This window comes from Homo sapiens, chromosome 1 (assembly GCF_000001405.40).
Source record: "Homo sapiens chromosome 1, GRCh38.p14 Primary Assembly".
Lineage (NCBI taxonomy): Eukaryota > Metazoa > Chordata > Mammalia > Primates > Hominidae > Homo > Homo sapiens.
In genome coordinates, this window is record NC_000001.11 from 165411927 (window position 1) to 165433057 (window position 21131).

A 21131-nucleotide genomic window follows, 5' to 3' on the forward strand; every position below is an offset into this window, starting at 1 on the left:
TTTCCATCTTATTCACAGCAGCAATAAACAGAATTCAATATTAGAACACATTTTTTACATCCCCAAAGTCAAGAAAATTATCCTTTAAGCAGGTGACTAGCCTGAAACTCCATGACAGCTACTCCACTAGCAGCTCCTATTTCTGTTTCTCTCCCTTCCTCCCCATAGTCCACTTGCAAGAGTGCCTCCTACTCTCTGAGGAGATAATGAGCCCCAGAGGCTGCAGAATGGACTGGAATCGCAATGCCGAACATCTAGTTTGTCATGCGAGCCATATCAGTCTCTCAAGGTAGGTCAGAGAAGAGTATGACTGCAAAAACACAACTTATGCTCCAAAACTTAGTGGAGATACGCCAAAAAGCTTCAAGACAAGAATGGTACTGTGTCATTGAGAGAGAGGCAAGGAGGGTAGAAAGAAGAAAAGGAATAAGGGAAAGAGACAACAAAACAGGGTGAGAAAAAGAGGAAACAGAAGGGAGAGAGAACAGAGAGGAGAAAATAGTGAAAAGAGGGGAAAAAACCTGTGCCTTGGAGTCAAAGAAAACTTTTTCACATATAACTCTACCCCTTCCTTGCTAAATGGCATTGGCCATATGACTGAGCTTAGTAAGCCCCAGATCCCTTATCTGTGAAGCAGAGATTAACTGAGATAGTTAAGGCTGGTACTTAGTTAAGGTTGGTACTCTTCAGTAGTTAACTGAAATAATATCGTAAGGATGAATGAAGCAATTATAAAAACTCAATACAAATAGTTATTTCCTCTTGCCTTTGGTGTCTTTTTACCCCCTTGGGCTCATCTCTCCATCTCCCTTTTTGGCCTCTTCCTCTCTCTCCTGTTTTCTTCCTCCTTCTGTCTCATCCTTACTTTCTGCTCACTCTGTCAGACTTCATTCACTGACAACATGTAGAAACTATAATATGTATTTTTTATTATATTTGGATTTACTGGGAAATGTTGAATGCTTCTTGTATTAATTTTTTTAAAGGTAGGTTATGAGCTTCTATTTGTCTTGACTTTAAAAGATGAGGGAAAGCAAACTAAGTTAAGTTTCATTCGTGGTCCTCAATCAATGTCTTCTAGAGATTTGTAACACTCAAGGAAAATAACCTTCAAGCTTCAGAGAAAATATCCTTGGTGTCAGGGAATTTGATTCGAATTCTGGTTTTGTATGAGCAAACCCTTTGCTATTCACTTTTCCTCTTTGTGCCTTAAGTCTTCCTGTCATAAATGAGGAGTCATATATTGTTATTGGGGGGTAGCTTCTACTTGTCAGACATTCTGAGCTACTGTTACGACACACATCAGGGTACATCCAGGGAACCCTGGATGATTAAAAATAAAACCAAACTTCTGCCTTAGGAAAGGATTTTAACCATTCATCCAACACGTGTTTATTTCGCACTTATTACAATAGGCAAAATTTATGAAGCTCTTTCTCTGTGTCAGGAATTATGCTCAACATTTTAGATAGATTACATTTCATTTAATCCTCACAATAATGCTCTGACATACTACGAGCCACAGAGAAACTAGTAACATATCTGAGGGCATGTGGTAGGCCATGATGGAGCCAGCACATGCACCCACAATGGCTCCTCCTGGGCCCATCTCTAACCTCTCAGTACTGCCTCCAAGGTACTGGGCTAGGTCTATTAATAAAGACCACACAGGGCTCACAAGGATACCAATGCTGCCCATGAACTGCCTCAAAGGCAATCCATTCACCAGTCTTGAAACTACATGTATATGACAAGAAATCATGGAAATAGACATTCCAGAATTCCTGAGGTGGCCCACTAATCAGAGGGTCCCAGTCCTATACAGGGTCTGCCATGTGCTTGCTGTGTGGGCTTGTGTGGGCTAGGCTCTCCAAACCTCTAATTTGTCTTTCAGGAAATGGACGTGTTACGTTAGAGAATAGAAAATGTCCACTCTAGCTTTAACATTATTTATCCTAAAAGGGCAACAGGTCCTGGCCCCTGATCCCAGGCAGGTAAATTCTGTACCTACCCCAATTCCATCTCTTTATCTGTGTGATTTCCATGGTCTCTCTGTTATCTGCTCCAGGATGTTATTATTCTTGTCCTCAAGAAAGTGTTCAAACTGAGCCCCAAATTCTATAAATCAAGACCAGAAATGATGGCGGTGGACAGGCTATCCAGTAGCCTTTTGAAATGCGCCCCCTTATATAGTCAGCGGAGGAATTGATTCACTTCTTTGCCTTCCCTTTGTCAGGGTAAATGGTGCCAATCTCTTCAGAAAGTTCCCTAAGAGCTCCTTTCCCTCTCCTAATTTTTACTACTCAGCTTTTCACTATTCTTTCTGTTTCTCCACATTCTTTTAAAAAATGCAGGAGCAAAAATTGGGTCCAACTTTCTATTAAAGTACCCAAACCATAGAAGTGTCTCTTACAGTTCACATGTCCCTGTTTTCCTTCCTTTTTTAAAAACATTTAACGAACCACAGTTCCCAACATTTGGCCTATTGACCACTCTGTCCCTAACTGAGCTGGGGATATTCAGCCTGCATTTTCAGAGATGGATTAGAATAACTCTAGAGAAATAGAAATGATGGTTTCTCTGACTGAGACCATTCACTTTCCTTTAATTCAATATCATGTGCTTAATGAAAACTGTTACTGTTCCAAGTCAATTGGAAACTTATCTCAAGTGTTTTAGGAGGGAAAAAAATGACCCTGCAGTCACTGGACTCTTGTTAATGGGAGAAATACTTGTAGTCATTAGTTTCATTTTGATAATCATGGTGGGGGAAGCTCCAAGGAGTATCCAATTCTATCCTGGTGGAAAAAAGATGTTCTTCACCAGCAGGTATTTCATATCGCATGCTCCAATCTGTAACATCATTGATCCCACTGCCACAGCAAGTATGACGTAAGCACAGAGTAGGCACTCAGCTAATACTCAATGAATAAATGAATGAGTCATTTTTAGGAGCTCCTGCACTTCTAAAACTTCTGATTTCAGCATTCAGTTTAAACTATTCATTCAACAATTTATTAAATGGCTACAATGTATTAGTCACTGGTGATAAAGCAGTGGGGGAAAAAAGCAGATGAAGCCCCCGCCTTCATGGATACAGACAGTAAACAAGATAAGTACAAGTGTTAGATCATGATAACTACTGTGTAAAAGAGACAAGGAAGGGTTGGGGGTGGCTGGTGCAATTTTAGATGATATAACCAGGCAAGGCTTTACCAAGAAAGTGAGAATTGGGTAAAGATACGAAGGATGAGAAAAAGTGAGCCATCAGATACCTGAAAAAAAAATCATTCTAGACAGACAGCAAGTGCAAAGGCCCTGAGGTGGGTGCATCTCTGGTATAGTTGAGGATCACCAAAGAGGCCAGGAAGGCTGAGGCTGAGAGACAACAGGGCATCCAGACTATGTACAACCTTAAGTCATGACAAAGATTTTTGCCTTTTTTTCTGGGTGAGAAGGAAAGACATTGGAGGATTCTGCTGAAGGAACACCTTGACCCAATCTACTTGTTCAAAGCCTCCCTCTGGCTACTGTGCTAAGAAGAGACTGTAGGAGGACAAAGATGGAAGCAGGGAGATGTCTTAGGATGCTGTGTAGATCACTACAAAATATACAGTTAGCTTAGATTGGGGGGTTAGTGGTAAAAGTAGTGAGACATGGAAAGATTCTGGGCATAGTTTGAGGAAGAGACAAGACTTCCTCACCCGCTACATGTGGTGTGTGAAAAAAGAGGGGAGTCAATGGTTTTTGTTCTGAGCAACTGGAAAATAAGTGGCCATTTCCTGAAAGGGGAAGACTGTGTGAGGAACAGGCTGGGGTGTGGGGCAGATTTTCAGGAGCTGAGATTTGGGTCTCTCACTTTTGAGGTTGCTGTTAAATGTCACAGCGAGGGCCATCTTCAGTTCCTTCACAACCTGGCAGGGAAGGAGACACAGACTAGGGCTGATCTGAAAGTCAGAGACCTGGGGTCAGTTCATTAACTGCCTTTGGCACCTCAGGAAACTCCGTTCATCTCTGTGAGCCTGTTTTCTCATCTGGCGGATGGTTACAGTTGATTAGGTGACTCTGTAAGGCCACCTCTAGCATCTTGACATGTTAAGATTACAAGAATTTGTTTGCTCATGGGTGACATTCACTTTTAGCAGGGACACAAAGAGCCCCTCTTCATTGACCCTTTCAGTAAGATGCCCTCTTCTCACAGAAAAGAAGTTCCTCAAGAATGAGGAGCGTGCTGGGCCTGACTGAACTCCTTGTTCTTATTTCCTAAAGAGAGGCAGGACCTTCTTACTCTAAAATCTATTAAGATTCACCACTATCCCCATGTCCCTGCTTGAGCTCACTAGTTAATTAACTGCCCACTTCAATTTATCTGTGATACTTAATGGAAAGTCTTTTCTGTCTACTAACGGGACAGAAAGCACCTTCTGAGGTTTTTTTCTCTCATACTAGAATACCCAGCTAAACCACACTATAAATTAAAAGATGTGATGGTTTCAACACACAGTGGTGGTCTCTCTGAATGGGAAGGTTAGGTCTGTCAAACCTGTGTAATGCCAGTAATGCCAAAAGATGATGGAATATACCAATATCAAAGATTTGATAGCAGACCCAGGTAAAAAAAACTCAGTGAGTGAAATGAAACCTACAGTTTGCCCCAGAGAGAGACCTAGGATTAGAGGAGAAAAGTCACCTCCACCCTGAAGGTCAGTCTGACGATCCATTGGTAGAGCAGATCATAAGGACCCTGAAACCTTGGCTCTGAGACTTGCTGCCTGGTTATTGGAAGAAAAAAGGAGACGGTCCAGTTTGGGGATCACCATCTGGGCTCCAGAAGAGGATGGGTAAATGTGGAGGAGGAAGATGCCTCTTGCCCTCTCTGCTCTGGAGAGACACACTTCCTAGGAAAAGGGTACATTCAATTGCAATACACGAGTACCCAAAGTCATCCTAATTTCCTATTCAGACTTCTCTTTAGAGCCCTGTGGGAAAGAAATTTGAAGTGGAGATTAGGATGACTTTGGGCACCATGACTTCTCGTGTATTGCAGTTGAATGTCCCCTTGCCTAGGAAATGCCTCTCTCCGGACACGAGTTTTGGAACTGAATGTGTCTCACCTTCCCTCTTCATGCCCATGACAAGGCACTTCTGATAGCGACAGTACTGGCAGCGGTTGCGCTGACGCTTGTCAATGAGGCAGTCTTTATTATCCCGACACGTGTAGATGAGGTCCTTCCTTATCGTCCTCTTGAAGAACCCTTTGCAGCCTTCACAACTGTATACCCCGTAGTGCTTTCCTGGTTAGAAGAAAAGAACATTCCATAGATTGTTCTTGTGTTTATTTGGATCTTTCATTCAAAAGAACCTCTTGGCTCTTCCCCCAGAGAAACAGGCATATCACTTGGGCATTGGGACAGAAAGCAAATAATCACTAGCAGAGAATGCAGGCTTGATCACAGGAACCAAACTAAGACACAGCAAATACACTTGTCCTCGTGTCTTTCCTCTGCATTACTAATTCCAGAGAGAATTATTAGAAAATTCCTAAAGCTAAGGCTTTCTTTATATTTATTTTATAAAGGCAACTCTTGGGTTTAGTTAAGCAAATGTTCTGCCTCCATTCAAAACATTAGTGTAAATAATAAATAAAAATATATATGCTTGTCACGTATTACCTAGCAGGAAAAGAACCCCAACTTAACTAATTATAATTGAGACCCAAGTTCTTAGGAAACCTATTTAAATTTATTATCCTTTACCATAAACTATGAACAGAATTCTGAGTTATGAATTGTTAAGTGCTATTGACTGTTGAGGAAATTAATTGCTGTTTGATCTTTATATCATCATATGACAATCAAGCTATGACATAAAGATCTGATAGAAGCTGATTTTGCAGCCGGGCATGGTGGCTCACGCCTGTAATCCCAGCACTTTGGGAGGCTGAGGTGGGAAGATCACTTGAGGTCAGGAGCTTTTAGACCAGCCTGGCCAACATGGTAAAACCTCGTCTCTGTTAAAATATATATATACAAAAATTAGCCGCGCATGGTGGCACATGCCTGTGGTCTCAGCTACTCCAGAGGCTGAGGTATGGGAATCACTTGAACCCTGGAGGCGGAGGTTGCAGTGAGCCAAGATCATGCCCCTGCACTCTAGCCTGAGTGACAGAGCGAGATCCCGTCTCAAAAAAAAAAAAAAAAAAAAAAAAAAAGAAGGTGATTTTGCTTAATCCAGACTAATTTGTTGCATATTTCATTGCCCTTATTACCTGTCCACACATGCAGTTTTCAATTACCCCAGGCAGGGGTGGCTAATTTAGGTCAGGAGAGCCACCAAGCCCATCCTCAGACAGGCATCATGAATCAATCACAATCCTTTTTCTAGGTAGAAGTCTTCTTAATACCAGGCACTATGCTTGATTGATTGAAATTGCAGAACTTCAAAAATATAAGGAAACAAATCATTCAAAACATATTTGTGTCTGATTCTTTGAATGTAATATGTGATGTCATTGAGTTACAGAAATGACATGACTTTCTAATTCTGTTTTACTTAGGTTTCCAGCATCTCAGGAGTTTACAGTTCAGAGGAAGCCACTGTAAGATGAAATGATGGGTACAGATAGCCTGCCTGAAGAAAAGCCAGCCTTTGCCTCATTGGTTGACCATACTACAGGCCGGCTTTTCACATTGCTGAACTCACAGCAATGATAAATACAGGATTTTATCTTGGGCCCAGAAAACCTAGTGCTCTCAGTTCTGAAATATTTGTCTTAGAGAAATATGGGACCAATTTTTCAACTGTGTGACATAGTCATTCCCATGGCTTTTCAATATTTAAATGAACCTCATAGACTTTCAACTAGAATAAGCATAGCAGAGAAAACACTGTCGGGCTGTGGCTGGTGTGCTATTATGGCAATGGCCAAGTCTGCATGATTTGGGAAATATTTTTTGAGAGCAAGAAAACATCAGCCATTCAGCTAGGTAAGTTCTAGGTGCCTGGAACTTTCAATGGAGTGACATTCTTTAGTGGCTTTGGTGGCATTAAGAGTATAAGGAAATATTCAGTTAGCCATCATGGACAGCTATAGAAAAGAGAATAACCTCCTCTTATTATTGTTCTTCAAATAATCAAATCGGAGATTCGGATGTGTTCAAAATTGATGGGGAGGGAAATATGGGGCAGGAAGAATGGAGAGGAAAGAAGCAAGGAAAGAAATAACTGAGAAAAGGAGAAGAGAATCAAAGATAAGTTGGTGAAAACACATTTATTTCTGCCTATAAAAGCATATTGAAAATCTAGAATGTTATAGCAAGAAATACGCTAAAATATTAAAGGGTTTATTTTTCTTGGGGACATTATGGGTAATTTTTTTACTTTTCTTTGCAGTTTTCTAGTTCGTTCAAATCCTCTACATTAGGACATTATTTTTACAATTGCTTATCTGGGAGGGGTTATTCTTAATACTTTTTTTTTTTTGAGATGGAGTCTCATTCTGTGGCCTAGGCTGGAGTACAGTAGCGTGATCATGGCTCACTGCAGGCTTGACTTCCCAGGCTCAAGCTATCCTCCCACCTCAGCCTCCCAAGTAGCTGGGACTACACCAAAGCACTGGGATTATAGGTGTGAGCCACCACACCCAGCAGAAATACTTGATAATCACAACAGCTTCTGTCTCTCAGATACATGTGTAATAGTGTGACTCCAGAGAAGGGTTTCTGAAATGTTTCCTGTAAATCTCATCCTCAAAAAATAAAGCCATCCTTTAAATTCATCAAAACGGCAGCCTGTGAACCCAGTGACATAAACGTATAGGTGGGTCCCCAGTTAGCCCATCCTAAAGGGCCATTTTCCTTTCATTGAGTACAAAGTATCCAGGCAGACAGTGAGCAGCCCCTTCTCTGTGGCACTTTTCAGGGAGTGTCTGCTTCTGCATGTACCTGAGGATCTGTCTCCACAGATGGCACAGATGTGTTTAACCAGAGATCCGGGGCTGGTGGATGGGTAGTTCATGTTTCCAATCCCGGGAAGCCCTGGTAAGGGCTTGATGTCCTCTGAACTGCTGACACTGTTGACCACATTTAGCTGCAAGAGAAAAAAATACTGTAAAGCACAGAGCCAGAGTAAATTCAATCCCCAAGGCCTAAGGCAATGAGGGCTTACTCAAGAAAAAACAAGTTCTATTTCAAGAAACAGTTTCCAAGTACAGAGTATTTGAAACTGCCTATCTGTGAGATGAACTTAAGGGAGGGATAAAAGTGCCATAGGAGGAACAAAATTATTTCTAGAAGCCAAAACTTAAACCAAAAATCACAACACATCTCCATTAGAGTCTATCTGCTTTTATTCATTTTACTCATATGTTTTATTTAAGCTAGAAATCCATGCCAAATTACACACCCAGGACAATGTCAACTGTGTATTTTAAAATTTTTATCAACTATTGACTGCCTATTCAGCCGTGCTGCAAGAGGAACTACGACCCTCAGGCTAAAGACTTACACTCTAAGAGAGCCAAGCAAAAAAATGCAAATTCATTCATTAGTCAATCAACAGATATTCCCTGGGCACTCAGAATGCCAGACACTGTGCCAGGCTCTGGGGTACAAAGGCAAAGAAAAATACACACCCAGAAGGAGTTCACGGTAAAATGAGAAAGGACATGTGTAATGGTCATCTCTGCAAGCACACTGAAGATGCTAACTCGAATACATCCCTTATTGTAAGTTAATATCAGCTCCCCATCACCATCCCTGTATCTCCCAGTGCTCTTGGTAAGATTCCTCAGAAACTGAGGCTAAGTATCTTGTGTTCACCAAAGAAAGCAAATTGAATACATTTGAGCCACTCATCCAATCAGCAATAGAAACCCAGAAGGTATATCTCTCATTCCTCAAAAATGTACAATGTCATCAAGGAGTCAGAACATGCACAAAAAAATAAGAACACTTACAAGCAAGTTCAAACGAAGGTGGTGCAGGATATGCATGTTCGTAATTGTCCAATAGAAGTAAAGGTTTAGTGGTTAGGAACTACTGACTTCCCATGGTTTGTCTGAATTTTGAATCATATTGCCTAACCAAAGGGACAATAATACTCAAACTGAATCAAAGGTATGATTTTCCTCTCTATTCAAGGCCTTTGGGACAGAAGAAAGGTTCAATAAAACAGAAACTACAATAGAGCCTAAGCTAGGTTCCTTCTAAATTCACGAGCTTTTTCAATTCACTAAGCAAATATTTATTGAGCGCAGGAGGCAAACAGAGGCTCTCAGTTAAACACTATGAGGGATACAAAAAAGAAAAGACACAGCCTTTGGTGCTTTGTTTTGAAATCAACATCACTGTTAATTTTTAAAAATTAATTTGCATAATAAATGACAACACATATGTGATAGAAGAATTCCCTCTTCCAGCACCACCCCTTTTTTTATACAAGGCTATGAGAAGACATGTGGAACTTGTAACCAGTATTTTGCTTTGTTTTCATGTAGTACACTGGTTCTCATCCCTGGGGGCTTTGAAAAAAAACATGGACCTCATCCATGTCTTGAGATTATGATTCCATGAGTCTGAGGTAGGGCCTTGGCTCTGGCATTTCTTTTTTTTTTTTTTTTCCTTTTTTTGAGACAGCTGTGTTGCCCAGGCTGGAGTGCAGTGGTGCCATCTCAGCTCACTGCAAACTTCACCTCCCTGGTTCAAGCAATTCCCCTGCCTCAGCCTCCCAAGTAGCTGGGATTAGAGGAGCATGCCACGACACTTAGCTAACTTTTTTGTATTTTTGGTAGAGACAGGATTTAACCATGTTGGTCAGACTGGTCTCGAACTCCTGACCTCAGGCAATCTGCCCGTCTTGGCCTCCCAAAGTTCTGGGATTACAGGGGAGAGCCACTGTGCCTGGCTGGCTCTGGCATTTCTTAATTTCACCAGATGACATTAATGTGCATCCAGGGTTAAGAACCACTGCCATAGCGTGACTTCTAGGCAATAACTTTCCTCAAGTGCCTCAAAGAAACAGAGATTAGCACTTGGATCCGACTCATGAAATGGAAGAACTTTAGGTCAGATGACCCCACAGAGAGAGCCCTCTAGCTGACCACGGCTCTGTCCCCAAGTCCTCAGAGGGACAAGAAAAGTCATGGGAATAAGGAAGAAACCACCACCACCTGAGGTTCAAGGGGTCCTCACCCTTCCTTCTCCTCCGACCCTCAACTCCAGCAGGACCAGCTCCACTGCCACCAGCCAGCAGCAACCACGGATAGTAATGATTGCCATTGCTACCATCTATGGAAAGCTTGCTCAGTGCTAATTAATTATGTTAATCCTCTCAACAACCCTAAGAGGTCTTCCTATTTACAGATAAGGACATTGAGCCTTAAAGTGGGTTTATTCATTTGTTTATTCAGGAACAATATGGAGATCCAAAACGGAAGGAGATGCAGGCACTGCCTCAAGGAATTGGCCATTAATGTGATTAAAAGTCAGTTTGGATCATTCAGGAAGGAAAGATCACATGCTATTGAGATCAGGGAAGGCTTCATGAAGGAAGTGGCATTTGAGCTGGGACGACAGCCTTCAAAAATGTGTAGGATTTGGATGGGCTAGTGATGGGCAGAAGGCTTTGAGAGCAGAGGCCTAGAGGGAAGCCCAAGTGTTTGTGGAGCAAACATGTCCAGTGGATGGATGGGAGATAATGCTGAGAAGTGCGCTATGACAAAGCCTAGAAGCTGAATTGCCTTGCTAGGAGAATTGATTTAGTTTGGGAAGCAATAAGCAGCCACTAGAGGCTTGGAGCAGAGAAATAATTACCTGAAACCATTTCAGTAATACAGTGAATGAGGTACAGCATGAGGAAAGATTAGAGGAGACATCCAAGGTATTGCACCTGCCCAGATACCAGGTTAGGTACCTTACCAGGTCTGACTGCTTGGAGCCAGAACCCCAAGATCCTGGATCTCAGATCATCATTCCCCATTCACCACATTGTCTGCCTTGGGTGAGAGGTGATCCTCAATCCTCAACTGCCCTAGCAGCTTCCTTCCTCACCTCCTTGGCCAGGAGCCCCTGCAGGAGCAGACTTGCTTTGGGGCACTTTCTCCCCAGTCTCAGCCAGCAGCCCCTCTCCAACACTCCTCCTCTTCATGAGTGGATAGTGGCAGGAGGGGCAGTGAGACAGGTTGGTTGATGTTTTCTCTGTCCATCTCTCTGGCTGGCTTGGGGTTTGTTTTGGGCTCAGAGCAATGGCAGATGAGATCAAAGGCAGCCATCAGAGCATAAACCCATTAGCTGCCTGGTCCCCAAGTCCCCCAATCCCGGCTGTCTTGTTCCATTAGAAACAGTCTACTGAAATAAGCACTTTAGAGCCGGGATTCACCAGGCAACTCCTATCTGCTGCTGCACGCAAGCCAGCTGCTCCCTGAGAACAGGAAAGAAACATACTTGTCTGCTGGATCGTCTTCCCTTTTGCAGACTCAGCCAGGGACCAATTCATTCTGCATGCTTCTGGAGCCATCCTTGAACATTGAGTCCTGCATTTCTGAACTGTGTTCAGCCCAAATCCTTCCACCAAAGGTTAGGCTGCAGGCAGGCACTCCCGTTCCAGGGAGCAGAACTCTTATAGTGGCACAGCCTTAATCTAGCTAAGGCCTTCATCATGAGGAGTAATAAGCCTGGACCTCCAACATGGGTTTGGTCTAAACCTGCGACTTCCTAATCAGGTCACTTCACTTAGCAAAGACTCTATTTCCCCATTTCTAGGTGAGTGTGTGTGTTGCTGGGGGCGGTGGGGAGGGAGGTTGAGGCTTCAAGTCTTTTGTCCCTGGCTCAACCAGATCTGCTTTTATCTTATGTGTATATCAGGCTTCCAACTATGCTTTCATCTGAAGAAAAGACTTGATGACTTAATTTTTTAAAATCATCAGACGAGATGAACTTTAAGGTCTATTCCAGCTCTAACATTTGCAATTTTTATTTATTTTCTATGAAAATGCAAACAGACTCAAGAGGATAATAATTCAGTTATCAATAAATATCTAAGCAGAAATTAGCAATGATAGAACCCAGGTCAGGCTGCAGAGTTCAGGAGGGGAGAAAAAGACAGGAGTATTGCAAAGATCTGTGAGGCCCATTCCGGAGTCCAGCCAGCAGACATCATGCTGACAAAGATGCAGTATCAAACATACACACACAAACACACTCAGAAAAATGTTTCCTATATCACATTATCTACAAAGTACATAAATATCTTCCCAATGATATATTGATGTCTTTAGAAATTGCATCACTCCACTTAGATGCTCCCCAGGGCAGGGATTAAATCTCATACACATTTTTGGTATCTCCAGTGCCCAGTACTGGGCCTGGTTCAATAAATGCTTGTTGAAATGAACTTCTCTAGAACCTCTCAGAAACAGTACACCTGAATTACCTAAGTGTATAATACTATCACCTGGGAATAATCCTAATAATACCAAGTTACTGCTATAGAGCATCGCACGTCTTGAGAAGTGATTTTTAAATCCACATCTTCTTTGACATGCCTAAAAAAATCCCTGTAGGGTAATCAGGGCAAGTATTTGTAACCCCACGATAAAGAAAAGGAAACTGAAACAGAAACAAGTTAAAGTGGTTTGCAAAAGATTACACAATTCCTGCCTTCATCGTACCAGTTCCGATCTCTTTACTCCTCAAGATCAAAAATCCAACAACTGCAAAAAGAGAAGCTCAAACAATGAAATGACAGAGCACAGAGGAGACTGGCCCTGCCTGCTGCTCCCACCCCTAGACACTTCCTCCTCCCTTCACCCCCCAAATTGTACTTACGCGAGAACCAGGTCACAGAATGAACATGCTTCCATCATGAATCCCTCTCAGACCAGTCCTGGGTGAGGAAGGCAGGATGCATAGGAATAATCTGCCCAGACGATCCAGAGTCCAGCTCACTGTAGCTAACACCAAGGCCTTTTTTCCAGTGTCATCTCGTTAACCGAGCAAAGCATTGCTGCAGTGTGGTTCCGGAGCCCAAGCCCAGAACACTGCTCAGGGTCTCAGGCTGCTGAGCTTCCCCAGCACTTGGCAAGCTTAATATAGCTCCCCAAAGCCAAACTTGGCCTTGGCCTCTGCACACAGCCCAGTTGGCCAGGACCAAAGCTTCCATCTGACCTTTCAACCCCAATCCCTCTGTACAGACATATGGTCCAGGAATAGCGGCCCTGCTACTCACACAGCTCTGAAGATGAATTGACTGGCCATGTTTGGCTCAATCAGACTTGAGTGTGGTTGCTAAAAGCAGCCTCAGAGGGATGGTGCCTTGCCCAATTCCTACCCACAGGATCTGTCTACCACCTCACCCTATTTTATTTCTTTTCAGATATTACGATTTTTATTTGAAACTATCTTGTTTATTCCTTAGGTTTTTGCCTGTCCTGCCTGCTATTGTGTGATTGCCATGAGAGTAAAGACCTTGGCCACCTTATTCCGTGCTTATCCCTAAAACCTAGGACAGTATCAATTAGTACCTGATGCATAGCAGGTCCACATAAGTAGTTATTGGGATGAATGTCAATGCCCTTTGCAAAACTGTACTTTCATCCCCAAACTACAATGTACTTTCTGTCTGTAACTACCAGATTTTACTCGCCTTCCTGGACTCTGTTCACAGGAAAGAAAGGAAACAAACAAACCTCATACATTATGAAGCATAGGGTATCAATGGCCTTGCTGATTATAGTGGGTGGGGGTGGCATAAATACATGTACACCCCCACTGCTGCCCCATCCCCACTCCTCTGAGCACTGGGGTCAAGGAATATATATTAAGCAGTTTATAATTCACTCTCTTTGCTCCCTTCAGGTCTGCTCCTGCGTCTATGACAGCACACAGACAGCACTGAAGTGCAATGGATCTGCATAATGTGGCCACCTCTCCCACAAGATTACCCGGGAGCACTGATTATCCATCTTTTAATCCTTGGCTGCCAACAGGAAGATCTTGGGGTCACTGTGCAAGTCAGCATATATCACAGCATTAGGCAAATGCAGGGTTGTGAACACAGGGCTGCAAGCCAGGGGACAGGATTTCATTGTGGCTCTGTTTTTGACTGGCTGTGTGAGGCTGCACAAGTCACTTGGGCTCCCCAAGTCTTGGTACTTCATTTGTGACATAAAGGGTTTGGACAGAATGAGTGATCCTCATTTGAGCAAGAGTGGGGCAGTTAGGATCCCCTGTGGGGCTTTTGCTACCTGCACAAGGGTCAAAATATGGGATGAGAGAGAAATGTGTACTCTGAAAAAGGTCCTACAGGTGAGAACCATAAGATTAGAAACTGGGGTGAAGATTACTGGCCAAATTATACCCAGTAAAGTAGTTTATTTGGCCTGAGGAATGCTTTAAAAGTCTTTGAATTTGAACAGCTTTGAGGGAGCAGGGCAGCTCTCCACAGTCCACACCTGCCCCATTGACTTACACAACCCTTCCTTCACTCACCTGTGTTACCTGACTGGGCCCAGCTCCTGGAATCCCTACACTAGCTGATCTCTAAGGCCGTCTCCAAATTATCTAATCTATGGAGCAATACATTTTTGAAGTCCTTACTGGCTCTATGCTATAACTCCACATGAATTTGTTTTCAGAACCCTAGAATATGAGGTGTCTCAGAGGAGACTCTAGGCATGGTCACTGAAGTTCTCTCTGGAGTAGCAGAAAATGCTGACATAAAAGAAGCCCTTCCTCCTCTCTAAAACTGTATTCAAAGGAGGCTTTGGGACTTTGTTAGTCAGTGATCTCCAGAGAAACAGAATCTATAGGAGGTGTGTGTGTATATATATATTTTAAATTTTATTATAAGCAATTGTCTCACATGATTTTGGAGGCTGATAAGTCCCAAGATCCACAGGGTGAGTCAGTGAGCTGGAGACCCAAAAAAGCTCATGACATACTCCAAAGGCCAGCAGGCTTGAGACCCAGGAAGAGCAAATGCTTCAGTTCAAGTTCAGAGACAGGAAAAAAAATGACGTCACAGTTCAAAGGTCATCAGACAGGAAAGTTCTCTTACTCAGAGGAGGGTGAGCTTTTTTGTTCTATTCAGATCTTCAACTAATTGGATGATGCCCACTCACATTAGGGAGGGCAAACTCCTTTACTCAGTCTACCTATTTAAATGTTCATCTCATCCAAAAAACACCCTCTCAGAAACACCCAGAACAATGTTTAACCGAATATGAGGGCATCCTATGGCCCAGTCAAGTTGACACATAAAGGCCCTGCCAGTTCTGCCTCTAGGTGTGCTGGTAGTTGGGGCAGCAGGGACTCTGGCTGTTATACAGGGAGAGAAGAAGCTGTGGCAGATGGGATTATTGTTCCTAATACTTCACTCCTTTTAATTCTTCATATTCTTTGCATTGTTTCTCTGCAGTACTTCCCACTAATATAGACACAGCCTTCTTCCTTGCCCCATCAATGTTGGAATCTGTCATATGTTTTGTTTTGTTTTGTTTTGTTTTGTTTTGTTTTGTTTTGTTTTGTTTGAGACGGAGTCTCGCTCTGTTGCCCAAGCTGGAGTGCAGTGGCATGGTGGCACTATCTCAGCTCACTGCAACCTCCGCCTCCCAGGCTCAAGCAATTCTCCTGCCTCAGCCTCCTGAGTAGCTGGGATTACAGGCACCTGCCACCACACCGGGCTAATTTTTTGTATTTTTAGTAGAGACGGGGTTTCACTGTATTAGCCAGGATGGTCTCCATCTCCTGATCTCATGATCCACCCACTTCGGCCTCCCAAAGTGCTAGGATTATAGGCATGAGCCACCGTGCCCGGCCTGAATCAGTCATGGTTTTCTTAGGCTGATGGAATATCAGTGGGCACGATTTGAGCAGAGGCTTCACTGTGCTTTCTGGATTGGGTTTGGACTTTTGCATTTCTATGATACACCATGAGAAAAGCATGCCCCCAAGTAGCTGCCACTCCTACTGAAACATGAGGAGCCTGCAGCTGAGCCCACTCACCCACCATCTGAAGCAGAGCCATCTGTCCTAGCCTAAGGTAGACATATGAGTGAGAAGATAAGTGTTTGGGGATTTTTGTTATGCAGCATTATTGCAGCAATAGCCAACCACTACAAGATGGGAAGGATGATGAACTTAGTGTGGCATTGCTAGAAGGAAGTAAAGATATCTGGCCATCCTATAGGCTCTGCAGAGTAGCAATCTAGCATGCACCATGCACATACTTCTTCTCCTCCATCATAGCAGAAGGCACTCGAAATTAAGGGAAAGTTTCCTTCCCAACCTCCCATAGTCTCAGAGACAGCATAGCATGTAATGCAGTCTGCCTTGTTCTCAACTTATCCATTGACATACCTGCCTATTTCTCCTCTCATTTGTAAGCTCCTGGAAAGCAATGGCCATTTCCTGATCATTTCTGCATTGCCTTTAACAAGAGCACGTGGCACTTCAGTGACTCAATAAATGCTCATGATTGAATTGAGAAGAATAAAAGGGGTCCATTCTGCTGAGAGATGTTGAAATCACAGCCAGGGCTGAACTGCTAAAACTACAAGGAAGGCCCCCTTTTGGTCACAGTCTCCTGGACCATGAGGAGTTGTCAGTTCTTCAGGACTGCTCAGCCTGAGGACACATGCAATGAAGGCCCTGCCTGAGGGACGTCTGCAGAGACCATTCAAACCCTTTGGCAAGCACGCATTATGGACCTGCTGAGTGCTGGTTCTGCTCCAGGAGCAGCCTGGGTGAAACCATGTAAGATGGCTGGAAAGGCCTTGGAGAGGAAGAACACTTACCTGAGAGCTGGGTGGGGCAACCAAGTTGATTCCTGGAGGCGCTGCAAGTGCTCCTGAGGGTGGGCCCATGGCAGAGGTGATGACTCGATATGGAGAGCCCAGGGCATTGAGGGGGGTCCCCACTGCACTCAGAGTCCGTGGGGCACTCACTGGGGTATCTGTGTAGCTGGGGTGGCTGTCCATTGGCTTCCCTGTGGACAAGGCTGCTGATGGGCTCATGGATGTAGAGCCAGTGTGGCCAGGGGAGCCTGTAAGAAGAAGAATATAGATGGTGGGAGGTTGGGGAACATGGAAAGGGGCCCTGGGGGACAGAGGCCTAGCCCCACCTTTCTTTCCTGTATCCTGCCCCTCTTTTAGCCACACCTACACACCTGTAAGCCCTAGGTGCTCTCACCTACACTACCCTGGTGGTATAAAGACAAGCGAGGGACACAGAGGGGAGAGGGCCTGCTCTAGGACAGAAATAAGCATGGATGTTCTCTGGGGCCCAGCTTGGAATCCACTCTGGACTATGCTGGATCCACAGCCAGTGCAACAAGGGGCACAGTCCAGAAGACCCCAGCCTGAGTGACTGAGGCCTGGGCCAGCCAGCCAGGGAAGGTGAGTCTATACCAAACCTCGATGGGGAGAGTGAGTAGGTTCCCAGGCTGCTCCATAATTCCCTGACTAGAACTCATATTGCTCTGATAATCAGGGCAGGGCTGAGATTCATTCATTTATATGCAACAAACATTTATTAGGGTGCCAGGTGCTGGGGATTCAGAGCAGAAGAGCACACAGTCGCTGACATCAGGAGTCACATTCCATAATAATGATGGGGAAGGCAGTGGCTGTTGTCATACCCCCAGTTTCCTATATCTATTGAAGCTTTATGTACATGATGTTCTTTTCCTGTCCCTCTCTATAGTACAGGGTTAATTAGCACTCAGGGGAGAAGACTTGGAATGGCTAGGCATGGCTTTATGGCCACAGAGGCCCAGGTAGCACAGGAAGGCAAATGCAGACCAGACTGCCGAGACCATTTCTGCCTCCAAGAATAGAATGCTGCAGCCAAAAGTGTCTGTGGAACAGGGTCTGGGTGAGGAGGTCATCAGTATCACTTTCTTCCAATAAATTGAACCCACATTCCCCTGTAGTCAGTAGCAAACTCGAGATGAAACAGGAGAGTGCCCTCCTGTCATCTTGGGAGCCCCGCATGGAACATTCTCTCCAGAAGAGAGGAGCTATAAGCTTTAGGATCTGTAGCAGCAAAGCAGAGACTAGAAAACACCACAGGGCACCCCACCGTGGATCCCATCACTAGATCCCTGTGCAGCTAGCATGCAAGAACAGATGTGAAGAAGCCATGTGCACAGTAGCTGCACGCAGCACATCCATGGCACCCAAGCTGTCCACATGGATAGAAAGGGAGAGGATTAAGTGCTCAGTAAGCACAGTCTGCTGGAGAAGCTACCCCATTCTCAGATGCCTACTGTGGGTCAGACACCTTGCCAAGCAGATGGGATAAGAAGTGGAGGAAGTCATATGCCTGACTTTATGTGGCTCATTATTCATCCAACAAATATTTCTTGAGTGCCTACTACATGCAAGGCACTGTCCTAAGCCTTTGGGCAACATCAGTGGGTGCTAAGTGTAATGTCAGGAGTAGGATGCTAGGAGAAACTGGCTTCTTTCAAGTTCTGGTAGAGAGCAGGAAGTGTCAGAAATATAACTGTGAAACTATTCTTAAACGTAAATATTCCACTGGAAAAAATGTCAACCTGCAGTTTCTCTTGGAGCTTCTGCTAGCTTAGTTGAGGGCTACTTGTGGAAGGAAGTCACTCCAAGGAAGCTGTGACCCTCTTGTCATTCTACGTATGGAGCTTTGGTCTATCAGGGACAATTGCCTCATAAACAGATAAGTCCCAATACCCCATGTCCTAAGTACCACAATCAAGGAGAAAACACATGCTGTGGGCCCACAGGGGCATGGCAAAGTGGTTAAAATTAATAACTCAAACATTTATTATGTGTCCTCAATAGCATCAGGCAGTTTCCATAACTCTTTATCCTGACAATAAGCCTATGAAAATCATTTCAGCCTTTTGCAGATGAGAAAACTTAGGCTCCATCTAACCCCATACCATTTCCAGTTCCAGGATGACTTACCCCTGCCTCCATTGTCTAGAAGCTCTTATTCAACCTTCAAGGTCTAACTCAAGTGCCACCTCCTCCACAAAGCTTTTCCTGGTGTTCCTGGTCTGGTTTCCTGCCCTTTTTTTATTTCCTAAAACTGTCTGTTCCTACTTGTATCTTAGCATTTGTTATACTGTATCACTATATTTGTTTATTCCCTGTCTTTCCCACTAAACAAAAAGGAAAAAACCATGTCCAGTTTTGTTTCTCCATCTCTATCAGATTACCTGGCACTGCCCAGGTAGTTAGTGGCAAAGCCTTGATTCAAATTGCCAATCTGAAACCCACGCTCTCCTCTGTGTTTGTTATCAAGGACAGCAAAGATGATTGGAGAGCCATCTGCACCAAGAGTACAAGATGACTCAATTATGAAGTGATCTCAAGCTGAAAGTTCATCTGAAGGAGAGAAAAGAGGGCAGCGCTCAAGAACTGAAAGCCAAGAAAACCAAGACTCTTCAGGTGGCCACTCATTGGAAAGAGCAGTTTTAGACTCTTCTGAGGCCCTGGGGGCTGTGACATTTAACGAGGCCAATGTATACCTTGAGTCTGTTACTAAGATAAAGTGTGACAGGTGAGTTAGGCGCCAGCCCTGATTCAATGGGTGAGGAGCCATAAACTCCACTGAGAAGACAGCTGTCCTTCCCCCATGACCAAGCTATCTGAAGGAAATTGACTTTTCCTTCTTGCTTAGGCTTGCCAAAAACAGACCAGACCACCCTGCAACTTTCCTTTTTATTCTGCTTTAAACAGATCTCAGAGAGACTGCGCCTTTCTATTTCTTTATCCCCAGGGTCAAGAACCAAAGCCTGACATCAGGCCTAGACTGAGGGCACAGGCAAGAGCAAGAGTTTGCTTCACACTCATCACCCCAAGAATTCCAGGGTGTGGTCCCTCTGCCACCAGTGACAAAGGGCATTTTAAGTGGTATGTCAGCAAACTTAAAAAAAAAATTAATAGTTTTATATTTATGCTTTCTGTTTCCTTTTGTTTATAGGGAGGGACTGAGCTCTCATTTCTTGTTATAAAATTATCTTCCTAAAGATAGCTATTTAAGCTTTCTTAAAACAGTAAATTGATTTAAGAAAAAGTCTAAGTACAGAGGATATATAAAATATCATGAAAATAGTATGCAAAGGAATGATGTTTAAAAAACATCAACCTGCATAAAAATATACAAATATGGACTTTGAAGAACTCATGAGTTGTTTCAAAAATAAAATGAGATAATGATGTGAAAGTGATTTGAAAATTAAAGTACATTTTTGTTGTTGTTATCATTATTAATAAGAAGTAAGTTAACTTGACTACTGAGAGCAGTGGTGAGAATGGTACATTGTTGAGATACAATGAAATAATGAGTTAAAGTTTGGTTCTCAATGGCCTTTAAAATATGATTTATTTCTGTTGAGTCAATGACCCAGAAGAGGTGGGCTATTTTATAACTACATTTTAAAAAATAAAATAGAATTTTAAAAGACAAATACATCTTAGACAAATGCATTTTAGTTCTTTGCCTCTCACAATGTCCCAGTAGTTCTTAGAAATAAATAGCTTTGCTTTTAGACAAGTTAGAAAACAACAACTTTTATGACAAAAGTGTTTCTCAATGGAAAATTAATCTATTCTCCCAAATAGACACTAATGCATACCTGTCTGTGATGTTTTTGTCAGCCTCTCTCACTCCTTTTTTTTGTTTGTTTTTCCACAGCCCCATGGAAACTGCAGCCAATACCAAAAGGCACCACAAGTTTTCCAGATACCTGATTATATCTTATTTCTTTTCCTTCCCCACTGAGAGCCTTCTGATTAAGCTATGAACTAGGCAGAAAACTGACAGGTTTCCCTTCAGCACCAGCTGAAAGTAGGCAGGCTCCTGTTTGAAGGATGAGTGGTGTTTCTTGCAAATTTATCCAGGAGAGATTCTGTCTAGCCCTCAGCCTAGGATAAGTCTAGTCCAAATCTTAAGTCAAGGTTTTCCCTAATGCTCCCTTTTGGTCCTTGCAATGATTTGAATGGGTGTGTCCCTCCAAAATTTGTGTTGGAATTTAAACCATAAGAGAGTAGTAACAGGTGGGGCCTTTTGGAAGTGAGTAGGCCATGAGGGCACCACCCTCATAAATGGGATTAATGCACTTATAAGAGAGGACTTCAGTGAACTACTTGG

The 21131-nt window shown here is 43.4% G+C and overlaps 1 protein-coding gene across 3 annotated transcripts in view; it reads right to left on the reverse strand.

Annotated features, from left to right (window-relative positions):
* RXRG (retinoid X receptor gamma) overlaps positions 1 to 21131 on the reverse strand; it is a 44205-nt gene that overhangs the window by 11005 nt on the left and 12069 nt on the right. The window contains exons 2-5 of one of the 3 annotated variants that reach the window (NM_001256570.2): positions 16793 to 17040; positions 12825 to 12882; positions 7944 to 8088; positions 5115 to 5294 (exon numbers count right to left, since the gene is read on the reverse strand). In NM_001256570.2, the coding sequence (NP_001243499.1) occupies positions 5115 to 5294; positions 7944 to 8016 (253 nt within the window). In that variant the 5' untranslated portion in view covers positions 8017 to 8088; positions 12825 to 12882; positions 16793 to 17040. Of the gene's footprint in view, positions 1 to 5114; positions 5295 to 7943; positions 8089 to 12824; positions 13059 to 16792; positions 17041 to 21131 lie in introns of those variants that run through there. The other 2 variants (NM_006917.5, NM_001256571.2) reach the window with 2 other exon arrangements.